The sequence below is a fragment of the Homo sapiens genome, chromosome 4, assembly GCF_000001405.40.
Source record: "Homo sapiens chromosome 4, GRCh38.p14 Primary Assembly".
Classification (NCBI taxonomy): domain Eukaryota; kingdom Metazoa; phylum Chordata; class Mammalia; order Primates; family Hominidae; genus Homo; species Homo sapiens.
The window spans coordinates 5565234-5577322 of record NC_000004.12 but is presented as its reverse complement, the minus strand read 5'-3'; the positions used below and the strand labels follow the sequence as shown (position 1 = coordinate 5577322).

General features: G+C 48.9%; 1 protein-coding gene across 7 annotated transcripts in view; it reads left to right on the top strand.

Annotated features, from left to right (window-relative positions):
- EVC2 (EvC ciliary complex subunit 2) overlaps nucleotides 1–12089 on the top strand; it is a 180538-nt gene that overhangs the window by 132226 nt on the left and 36223 nt on the right. For 5 of the 7 annotated variants that reach the window (XM_047449611.1, NM_001166136.2, XM_017007736.2 and 2 more), the window contains 4 exons: nucleotides 869–1083; nucleotides 2551–2638; nucleotides 8683–8879; nucleotides 11964–12065. In XM_047449611.1, coding sequence (XP_047305567.1) covers nucleotides 869–1083; nucleotides 2551–2638; nucleotides 8683–8879; nucleotides 11964–12065 — 602 coding nt within the window. Of the gene's footprint in view, nucleotides 1–868; nucleotides 1084–1336; nucleotides 2500–2550; nucleotides 2639–8682; nucleotides 8880–11963; nucleotides 12066–12089 lie in introns of those variants that run through there. The other 2 variants (XM_047449612.1, XM_017007738.2) reach the window with 2 other exon arrangements.

Here is a 12089-nt window from a genome sequence, read left to right as displayed (position 1 = left end):
ATCCTGGTGGCCTAAGAATGCAGATTACTTCTGTTTGGCCAAGGAGAGACAATGTAGCTTAGTGGTTAAGACTGCAATTTCAGAGCCAGCTAGCCTGGCTTGAAATTCAGGATCTGCCACTCAATAGTTACATCATCTGACAAATTAATTTAACTCTGTCTGCCTCAGTTCCTTTACCTATAAAGCAAGAGAACTTAGAGTATGTATTCTGAAGGATTGTTGTAAGTGTTCAGTGAGATTCACGTATGGAAAGTACACAGAGCAGTGCTCGGCACCCTGATGGTACTGGTGGTGTTAGCCATAGTTGCTGTGTTCCAGCCTGGCTTTCGTCCATGCCGGGTGCATGCAGATACCCCACCATATGCAGTGACAGGTGCCAGCCACCAGGCACTTTGCAGGCAGGGAGAAGGAGACACAGCCCTGCCCTCAAAGAGCTCACACTGTAGCAGAAAGGCACAGGACAGTGATTTCAGGTGACAGGAAACAGAGTGCATGCAAGGGGTAGTGAGTGGGCACATGAGGAGAGGGCATCTGTGTCTCCCAAGGAACTCAGGGATCCTTTCGCTGAGGAGCCCTTCACCAAGGAGTTTCTTCTTAAGCGGAGGGGTGAAAGAAGACTGGGGATTGGTCAGGCAGACAGAGAAAGGCACTGCAGGTGGAGGGAACGGCCTATGTGGAGGCATGGAGGTGACACAGGGGTGAGAGATCGTGGTGCACTCACATTGCACCATGTGGCACAGCTGGATGGGGAACCAGGCAAGACAGAGTCATGCCAGACTTGTAGCAAGACACCCAGGAGGTCAGATTTTGTCCTCCACCCCACCCGCCTTGTGCAGTGGTGCTTACCCTCTGCCCCTTCCTTGTGTAGGAGCTCCAGGAGTTGGAGAGGAAGCTGGAGGACCAGCTGGTGCAGCAGGAGGCAGCCCAGCAGCAGCAGGCCCTGGCGAGCTGGCAGCAGTGGGTGGCCGATGGGCCCGGGATTCTGAACGAACCTGGGGAGGTGGATTCTGAAAGGCAGGTCTCTACTGTCCTGCACCAAGCCCTGAGCAAGAGCCAGACATTACTGGAGCAACATCAGCAGTGGTATGCCGTGTGCCCCGTAGCACTCAAAGATATTAGTCCCCAGCAGTCCTGGAGAACCTGGCATCTCCAACTCAGCCCACCCATACCCACCTGGGCTCTCACCCTCTTGCCTAAGGTGTCATCCCATTGCTCCAACACGAGCTGCTGGCTTTGTAGCATACTCTTTCTTCCCTGATGCCCTTCTTTTTTAAATTTAATATCATTGAAGTTTTACCAAACGTAATATTTTTAAACTTTTTATTTTGAAATATAGACTCACAAGAAGTTGCAAAGGTAGTAGGGAGAGTGCCATGTACCCTTCCCCCAGCTTTCCTTCTTGGAAACATCTGACATAATCATGGTATGTGAATTGACATTGTCACAAGACAGTGAACTAGACTACAGGCCTTATTGCAATTTCACCATAAGCATAGTATTTTATATCCTGCTTTTGTAAAATTATAAAACAGACAGACCCCCAGTCTTTTTGTTGTTGTTGTTCTTTGCGTTGTTTTTCAATTCACATTAGGCACTTAGCCTTGGCTGTGGCATTAAGAATCCTTGGAAAAACACAATTTTTAACAGCTTCATACTTTTCCACTGTGAATAAAAAATGGACATGGAAAGGACTGGAGGCAAAGTCTATACACAGCGTGGTTAATTTTTGCAAACACACGCACACGCTAATTGGAAGGAAATAGACCAAATTTCAGTGGATGTGATTTCTGGGCAGTGAAATTACAGATGATTTTCATTCATCCTATCACGCTCTTCTGTGTAAATGCATCAAAGTGCAGTTCTGTCCCATCGAAATAATTGTGAGGGGGCCCCATCTGCGTGGTTGGAGGGAAATGCTCAAAGGCATTGGCTTGATTTAGCCTGGGATTTTAGGGCATATAGTATTCATATGCTCCTGGAGGAGATGGCTTGTGTTCAAACTTTTGATTTGAGTTGCACTTGCAGAAGGTCTGGGGTGTATTAGCCAGGAAGAGCACGAGGCAGATCCACAAAGCTGACTTGCATTAGCTAAGGCATGTGTTAAGCAGACCCCCTCGTGTGGGCGTCAGGAAGCCTCATGTGAAAAGGTGTCATCCTTTTGTTCTGGGTCTGCATCAATCCAAGGGCACATGGTGGGTGTAGACCCCAGATCTTGGTCTTCTTGGTCATCACCATGAGGACTGATGCAGAGTTTTCAAAGCAGCATCACAGAGATCACCCTGTAAAGCCATAGGAAAGTCTCCTTATAGCTCCCATGAAACTTTTCACTTCGAGGAGCCTCCTTCTGAGGAAACCCTCCTTGACATGTTATGTGCAAAGTAGCCTAGGCAAGAAAAGGAAGGCAGTCTTTCTGGCCATCTCTTTCTATGGACATATTTTTAAAATCATATGGCTGAGATGTGTGCTTCTTTGTTATTTAAATAACTAGATGATCTCATAGTATCACTTTATAACAAAACTGAACTTACGTATATTTTATTTTCACTCCAGTTTGAGAGAGGAACAACAGAACAGTGTCGTGCTAGAAGACTTGTTGGAAAACATGGAGGCAGACACCTTTGCAACCCTGTGCAGCCAGGTGAGAAGGTACTGGCAGGGTCTGAGGCCACCCCTTGCCAGCACGTCACTTCATCTTTTTCTCAGAATCCACATTTCCTCACCTCCAGGATGGTGATGAAAAGCCAGCCTTGGAACCTGCAGAGCAGATGTGTGCGAAGCTCTAGCATGGGCCCAGCACACAGAGGGTGCTCAATCAGTGCTAATGGCAGCAACCGCAACCATAATCACATGTGCCCCAGTCGATGTCTTTTCTGTGATTTGGCAGGCACCCAAATATTGTCCTTCTTCTCAATCTTTAACTAAGTTTAATATACAAAAAGTAGGTTCTACCGGGAAGAAAGTGGGTAAGAGAAAACTGGGCCAGAGCCATCAATCAGTGATACTGCACCCCACACTACACCTCTCTGAGTGGAGATCAGCCAACCTTTCTCATCCTTGGCCAGAGTTGCAGACTCACCTCCCTTCCTGATACAGAGCCCTGAGGCTGTGCACGGAGCCTTATGCAGTCATGTACCTGACTGTCTGCTACCGATCGGGTTTTATACGCATCCTGCGATGGGCTTCCTGTGCTTCTGGTGTCTGTAAGTAGCAGGAAATACAACTTCAGACAGTGGTGAATGCGAGCCACACGACTCCAGAGAGGTGCTCGCTGATGCAGTGACATCAGGGTCATGTTCTGTGATTCTTTCCACAGTTCCTTCTCACAGTTCCAGCTGCAATAACTTTCAGAGCAAGGAGGGAAGAGGTCAAAGAACTGCCACCATGCCCGTTCTTTCTCATCAAGGAAGCAAATGCCTCCAAGTCCCTGCAGCAGGTTTCCCTCGCAACCTGAGAGCTGACCCGTGGGCCTTGCTAGCTGCAGGGGAGGTGCGAGTCACTTTGCCCCCCAGCCTCTAAGAAGGGAGTCAGCAGGAAGGAGGGGTTAGGGCGCTTTTAGGCGTCCAGCTGGCTGCATCCACAGGCACACCGAGCTTCCTGAATGAATTCGTTTCCTATCACTGCTGTCACAAATGACCACAAACAGCAGCTTATCACAGCTACAAACTTACCTTAAAGTTCTGGAGGTCAGAAATCCAACATCGGTTTCTCCAGGCAAAAATCAAGGTGTTGGCGGATTTGCCTGCCTTTCGGAAGCTTTAGGGGGAGAATCTGTTTCCTGCTCACTTAAGTAATTGGCAGGGTTCAGCCCATTGTGGTTGTAGGACTGAGGTCCTTGTTTCTTTGCTGGCTTCCAGTGGCACCTACATTCCTTGGCTCATGGCCTCCTTTCTTCATCTTCAAAGCCAGCAAAATTGCATCTCTCTGGCCCTTCTTCCATCCTCCTCACATCTCTCTCTGACCTAACACAGCAGGAAAGGTCTCTACTTTTAAGGACCCACATGGTAATTATATTGGAACCACCTGGATAATCTAAGATAACCACTTTCCCACCCTATCTCAAGGCCCCTGACCTTACTCCCACTTGCAAAGTACCCTTCGCCTTATAAGGTGACATCTTCGCAGGTCCCAGGATGGGACATTTTGGGGAGGGATCATTATTCTGTTGACTGTGCCAAACAAGGTGCCAGTGTTAGCACTGGAGTGACAGTGTCCAAACAGGGCAGGGGAGGAGCTGGTACTTCCTGAACACCTGCCATGCCTGTTATTCATTTAATCCTTGCAGAAAGATGGGAAACAGGCAGTATTATCCTGTTTTATGAATAAAGGGACTGAGGCAAAGAGAGGTGGTGAGGGCATGAGGGCCCGCCACTGCTCGTGGGGGGCTTGGGATTCAGCCCAGCTTGGTGATGCACATACTCTGCTCTTCCTGACCGACTGTAAAGGATCTGAAGCAGATGACCACCCCGGCCTATGTCTCTGCGTAACTGAGCCATCTCCCACTCTCAACTTTGATTCCCCCACCTTTATCTTTGTCACTTTGAGACTTCACAGAAAGCCAGTGTCACCAGCAGAATTTCACCAGGTTCATTTCTAGATTCTGGGCCCTTTTAAATTGTGAACTCTGTATGCATCTCAGTCTGTTTCTGCTACTACACAAAATTCCTAGACTGGATAATTTATAAAGAATAGAAATTCTTTATCAATTTTCTCATAATTCTGGAGGCTGGGAAGTCCGAAATCAAGGTACCTGCAGATGCAGTGTCTGGTGAGAACTGCTCTCTGCTTCCAAGATGGTGCATTGTTGCTGCATCCTTTGGAGGACAGGAAAGCCGGGTCCTTATGTGGCAGAGGGGATGGGAAGGCAAAAAGGGCTAAGCTAGTTCCCTGGAGCCCTTTTATAAGACACTAATCCCATTCTTGAAGGCAGAGCCCTTATGACCTCATCACCTTCAGCAGGCCCCCCTTCCTAATAGTGGCATTTGTGGTTAAGTTTCAACATGAGTTTTGGAAGAGACACAAATGTTCAAACAATAGCACTCTGCTGAAGAATTGGCTCTATGCAGAATAAATACTGCCAGACCGGAAGCTCTGGGCAGCAGGCACCAGGTAGGATTGTTTTTTTTCTCTGTCCCCAACTTGGTGCTTTGTATAGTCTGCCCAATAATATCTACTCAGCTGAATTTCTTTCTTCCCAACTCCTGTGTATTAATAAGAGTCCTCCAGAGAAACAGAACTGATAGGATGCATCTCTGTAGAGAAAGAGATTTATTGAAGGAATTGGCTGCCGTGATTGTGGAGGCCGATGAGTCCAAATTCTGCAGGGTTGGCCTGCAGGCTGGAGACTCAGGAAGGAGTTGCAGTTCGAATCCCAAGGCCATCTGCTGAAAGGATTATCTTCTGCTCAGGACTGGTCAGCCTTCTTGTTCTCTCCAGGCCTTCAGCTGATGGCTGAGGCCAGCCACATTATGACAGGCCATCGACTTCCCTCAGAGTCCACCAATTTACATGTTAATCTCATCCCAAAACACCCCCACAGAAACAACAAGAGGAATGCTCAACTGAACATCTGGGCACAGTGGCCCAGCCAAATGGACACATAAAATGAACCAGCACATCCAGACTGGAGGAAGCCCCATATTTTGCCGTTTTCTTTTTGTACTAGAGAAAAGAATCATCAGGGAAGCTCAGTCCTCCATTTCTCTCTTTGTCCTTACTCCTCTTGCTGCTCCTTCATCCTGTGGAGAGGAGCAGGGAGGAAGTGGGGAGAGAGGCTGTCCACTGGCCACTCTGGGCCTCTCTGTCACTCTCCTTTGCCTAGAGAGCTGTGTCCCTGTGTTGCTTTATGTTCCATTTCTTTAATTTTTTTTTTATATTTTAATTGGGGACAGGTGGTTTTTGGTTACATGGATAAGTTCTTCATTGGTGATTTCTGAGATTTTGGTGCACCCACCACCTGAACAGTGTACATTGTATCAATGTATAGTCTTTTTTTTTTTTTTTTTTTTGAGATGGAGTCTCACTCTGTCACCCAGGCTGGAGTGCAGTGGCGCGATCTTGGCTCACTGCAACCTCCACCTCCCTGGTTCAAGCGATTCCCCTGCCTCGGCCTCCTGAGTAGCTGGGATTACAGGCACACGCCACCACGCCCGGCTAATTTTTTTGTATTTTCAGTAGAGACGGGGTTTCACCACGTTGGCCAGACTGGTCTCAAACTCCTGACCTCAGGCAGTCCACCCGCCTCAGCCTCCCAAAGTGCTGGGATTACAGGTGTGAGCCACGACGCCCGGCCCAATGTGTAGTCTTTTATCCTTCATCCCCCTCATTCTTCCCCCTGAGTCCCCAAAGTCCATTTTATCATTCTTATGCCTTTGCATCCTCATAGCTCAGCTCCTCCTCATAAGTGAGAACATACAATATATGGTTTTCCATTCCTGAGTTTCTTCACTTAGAATAATGGCCTCCAGCTCCATCCAAGTTGCTGCAAAGGCCATTATTTCATTCCATATTATGGCTGAGTAGTATTCTATGGTGTATATATACCACATTTTCTTTATTCACTTGTTGGTTGATGGGCACTTTGGTTGGTTCCATATTTTTGTAGTTGTGAATCGTGCTGCTATAAACATGCATGTCCATGTGTCTTTTTCATATAATAACTTATTTTCCTTGCATATATACCCAGCAGTGGGACTGCTGGATCGAATGGTAATTCTACTTTTAGTTCTTTAAGGAACCTCCATACTGTTTTCCATAGTGGTTGAACTAGTTTACATTCCTGCCAGCAGTGTAAAAGTGTTCCCTTTTCACACTTTGTGGTCCATTTCTGTCTGTAGATGTGGCATCAGATTCAAAGCTCTTGACCCATGTGAATGCTTTTTGTGTCACCAATTTTAGTAAGACTTGACCTGGTGAATTGACTTGTCTGGAGGATTACTGATCAGGGACCACTGGAGCTGGAAGGGCTGTGATAATGAGCTGGCCTGTCCCCATATTGACTGGTGGGATCCCAGCTATAAAGGTTTAGACCCTGCCTCAGGAAGAGGTGAATCTGCAGGGTGTTTATGAAGTCACTGTTTATCCAACAAATGTCTGTTGGTCACCCTCTCTGTTCCAGGAATGGGGTTAAGTGCTGGGGACAGAGAAGCGTGTGTCACTGACTTCATCCTAAGAGCCTAGTTCCAGAGGCACACTAGAAATGGGACAGTTACAGCAGAGTTGGTTAAAACCAATGTGAGATCAGAGGAGGGACACCTGACCCAGAAGATGGGGTCAGGGAAGACTCATGTAGAGTCCAAAAGAATGCGCTGGAGAGAGACAGAGAGTAGCTTAGGAGAAATGTACTCTAGGCTGAAGGAAGCTCATGGGTAAGGGCTCAGTGGCCTGGGCGAGCAGGACGGTCAGGGAAGAACAAGTATTTCAGTGTGACAGTGGAGGGAGGCCATGGATGGGGAGCGTCAGGACGTGGAAGGAGCTTTGGTATTTGGAACAGCACCTTTCCTCGTGCCTTCACTGAAAGCACTTACCAAGGTCACAGCGACCCCATGTTTCCAAGGGGTCGAGTCCCTGTGTTTGTGTCTCCTGACCTCTCTGTGGTCTCTGAACCCCCAGCCCACCCTTCTGAACACGTTCTCTCCTTGGCTTCCGGCACCTGGACTTGTTCCCTCCCACCCCTGCCTGCCCCTGCACAGGCCCCTGGCTGGACACTGCTCCTTCTCATGGCCTTTGGGCACCCAATAGCTCTGTCCTGGGGCCTCTTTTCCTCTCCAGCTGTCCAAAGTGCTGGGATTACAGATGTGAGCCCCCATGCCTGGCCAAAATTTTTAATTTTGAAGTTATTTTAGATTCACAAGAAGTTACAAAGCTAGTATAGAGTTTCAGAGAGTTTCACTCAATTTTCCCCAATGGTTCCTGTCAGACAGCATCAGAACCAGGAAGTTGACATCGATATAAAATGTACGTATAGTTCTCTGTCATTTTATCCTATGCACATTCATGTAACCAGCAGCACCATCAAGACACAGAGCTGTCAACCACCACAAAGGCCACCCTGGGCTGCCCCTTTAAGGCCACACCCACCTCCCCTGCCCCACACCTGGCATCCACTGCCGCTCTCCAGTTCCAAGTCTCATCACGCCCAGGTGGTTACATGCATGGAATCACGCAGCACGTGACCTTTGGAGACTGGCTGTTTCCACTCGGCATAATGCCCCTGGGATCCTTCCAGTTCTTTCTTCTGACTGCAGAGTGGTATCCTGTGGCATGGGTATAGCACAGTGTCTTCAATTGTCCACTGGTTTAGGGACACTTCTGTTGTTTCCAGAGCCTGCACTGCTCGCCTGGTGCCTAATGGCCTCACAGAATGTGAGGAGGAGGAGAAAGTACATTCATTTTGAATCACCCTGCTGCAGGGCTTTTGCTGTGGGGATTTGGGTACTGCCCCAGTGACTTGAGAGCAGTTGGACGGGATGGATGGAGGCTTTAGAAGCGTCCTGGGGAGCCAAGGTTGCTGACCAAATAGGTTTTTTTTGACAGCTCTGAAAGTTCGGGAACATGTTTTCCAGACTAAGCTACTGAAATATTTATCACTCCAGGACAGAATGTCCTCAGAATGTGATAAATTAAAAATGATGGTTCAAGTTGAGAGGCGGCGAGGGTCTGAACTCCCTCTGTTGTTTCCTGTAGGAGCTGAGACTGGCATCGTACCTGGCGAGGATGGCCATGGTGCCCGGGGCCACGCTTCGCCGGCTCCTGAGTGTGGTACTGCCCACAGCCTCACAGCCTCAGCTGCTGGCCCTGCTGGATTCGGCCACCGAGAGACATGTGGACCACGCAGCTGAGAGCGATGGCGGAGCGGAGCAGGCCGACGTGGGCAGGCGGAGGTGAGTGCCGTGGAGGGGCTGCCTCCCGGGGCACGTCCCTGTCCACAAGGGTCCCCATGAGTCCTCAAGGTCATGGGAGGCCCATGTATTTTGTCCATACTTTTTAATTTTGTTACCAATTTATTTTTTAAATAGAATCTTAAGAAAATAAGTTCACCCAGAGCCATAAATATTTCATGCATGCCCATTAAAGAAAACGTAAAAAAAAAAATGCATAAAAAGAGGAAGAAGAGAAAGAAATATCCATGGTTTTATGACCTAGAAAAATGACTGCTAGCATCCTGTTACATTTCTTCCTCCAGAATGTGTTTCTCTGCTGGGTTTTACAAGTGTGTGTCTGCAAGTGTGGGAGCATGTGTTTGTGTGTTGGTATGTAAATGTGTGAGTGTGTTGTGCATGTAAATATGTGTATTTGTGTGTCGAGTGTGGAGTGAGCACGCTGTGGATACAGCCTTGCTACATTCTGCATTTCAGAATCTTACAGCAGAAGCGATTTTGCTCCTTACCTTTTAACGCTCATGCAAACATCCCCCTATGTAATTCTTATCCCATTACTTAGATTCTATTTCCTGCTAGTGTTATTCATTTAAATTTTATTCTTTCAATGTTATTGACACGTGGCACAGGTGGATATTATTTTTACTGGCTCCTCATGCTAAGGGGTGTAGCATAGAGCATGTAACTGTCATCCCGTCACTTGACATTCAGTTTGGGCCCATTTTTTTTTAAATTATGGGTAACTCTGCATAGACAGTCTCCTTTAGGATGGGGCCCCAGGTGTGAATTTGGTCATTAAAGGCTTTTTATGGGGAAAGGCAGGAAGGGGTGTGGAGTAAGGCGGGTTTGGGGGGCAGCCAGCAGTACCCCTTGAGGATGGAGTAGGTGGGGAATGAGGCTGCAAGGAAAGCCATGGCCAGGATGAAAACATTGCACCAGGATGCAGAGCTCACAGCCTCAGCAAGGATGCAGAGGAGGCCAGGAGGGCATCTGGGAGCCCGAGAGCCTGCTGAACCATCATGACTGTGTAGATAGCATTTGTCCTGAGAAAAGGGGTAATGTTTTCCTTATCAGAGATACTTTTTATCAGAGTATCTGACCCCAAAATCCAAGAAGCGCTGCTGAGGGTGAATAGAGTCTGACCAGGGTGAGGGGGAGGGTGGGGAAGAGGGAACATCTGCGGGTGTGGGCAGGAGGCCACAGTGTCGAAGAGCCTTCCTAGTGGCCTTGGGGCCCAGTATAGTCAGGAAGTGGGTTGTGGACCGCAGTCAGAGGGCTGGCTGCATGTTAGGGGGTCAGAGGTCTGGTTGTTGGCGTGGTCAGAGGGCTGGGTGTGGGCTGGTCAGAGGAACAAGAGGGAGCCAGAAGGAGGCCACCTCTGCCAAACGGAATGTCCAGTGACAGGATGACAGTTACATGCTCTATGCTACGCTCCTCCATGGAATATTAGGAGCCAATCATATTACTATTATTAATAATATTAAAAATAAAACCAGGTTTCACAGCCTGGTTTTCCCAGTGTGCTGCCTGCCTGCGTGCACGGACATGCAGGTGGCAAGTATTCAAGGTGACTCTGGAGTAGGAACGTGTGTGGCTGCGGGGAGGCCACTTCTGCCTGCCTACCACCCCTGTGGACCTTGTTTTTGGTGCTTCCCCTTCAGCCAGCTTAGTTTGGGAGGCCAGTGGGGAGAGATGGACAGGCCAAGCTGGGACGAGGCAAGAGGGCTTCAGGTCAATGTCACCATGGGCATGAGCATGGCCTTTCTTTGCCCAGCCTCATGGCCAGGCAGCCTGGATGACTCTGGAGTCCCAGGCCACTAACCCAATCTCTGAGGGCAGGGCATGCACTATTCTTGTGTCCCCAGCAGCTAGCATCCGGCCATTACATCAGTTATGAGTCTTGGGTTTCAAGCAATGGGAACTGAATAATTAATCCAAGCAAGAATGGGGTGTATTGAGGGCCATGTCAAAATCCAGGAAAGAGCCAGTGTTCAGGCCTCAGGAAGGGCAGGGCCAGGGAAGCACTCTGGGCATCCTCTCGGGTGCTGCCTTCAGAAGACCGCCCTTCTCTGCTCCAGGAGTTAGACTCCTGGGAGAGAGCCTGCCTGGCCCAGTGTGGAAGAGGCTCCATCTCCACCACCACCTGGGCAGGTGTGAGCCGCCAAGGCAGGGGGAATGAATCTAGCACATCCTTTATTGGCTTGACTTGACACCTCCCACTGTCCCGGGCAACACTCTCCAACGCCCTCTCCTTCAGTCTAGGACCACGCACCTTCATGGCTTTAGGGCTCCCTGCCTAGCCCACCTTCCAGGCTTCGCCTGTACTTTCCCAACTTCTGTATTTGTATATGCATAAAGCAGTTGTGGAGCTCCCACTGTGTCCTCTCTCTTAGGTACTAGGGCTACGTGGAGGGTAAGAGACAAAGCCCTGCTTGCGTAGAGCATTCATCCCAGTGGGGGAGGCAGCCAGTATATAAGTCAGTGCACAGATCCCATTCCTTCGTGAGTGCCCCAAGGGCTCCCTTTGCTCAAATGACTCCCCCAACCCGTCAGCCTTCTTCTGTCTGTGATCCCATAGACTTGGCCCCTTGAGGGCAGAGGTTGCATCTTGATGAGGCTGCAGAAGGCGTTTGATGGATGTGCAGTGAATGAGTGAAAGAATAAATGGTGAACACTCTGGGGATGGGGGTTCCTAGTGGCAACCAAAGGTGGCATTGAGAGATGGGTAGGATTACTCATCACTTAAAGATTCTATTCTTTTTTTTTTTTTTTTTGAGATGGAGTCTCACTCTGTCGCCCAGGCTGGAGTACAATGGCGTGATCTCAGCTCACTGCAACCTCCGCCTCCTGGGTTCAAGCGATTCTTTCTGCCTCAGCCTCCGGAGTAGCTGGGATTACAGGTGCCCACTACCACGCCCTGCTAATTTTTGTATTTTTTAGTAGAGACTGGGTTTCACCATGTTGGCCAGGCTGGTCTTGAACTCCTGACCTCAGGTGATCTGCCCGCCTCTGCCTTCCAAAGTGCTGGGATTACAGTGGGATTACAGGCGTATTTTTGAAACTATAAGACTCCCTTCTTGCCTGCAGGAAACACCAGAGCTGGTGGCAAGCCTTAGATGGCAAACTGCGAGGAGATCTGATAAGCAGAGGATTAGAAAAGATGCTGTGGGCCCGCAAGAGAAAGCAGAGGTAATGATGGGCACCTGCTCATGT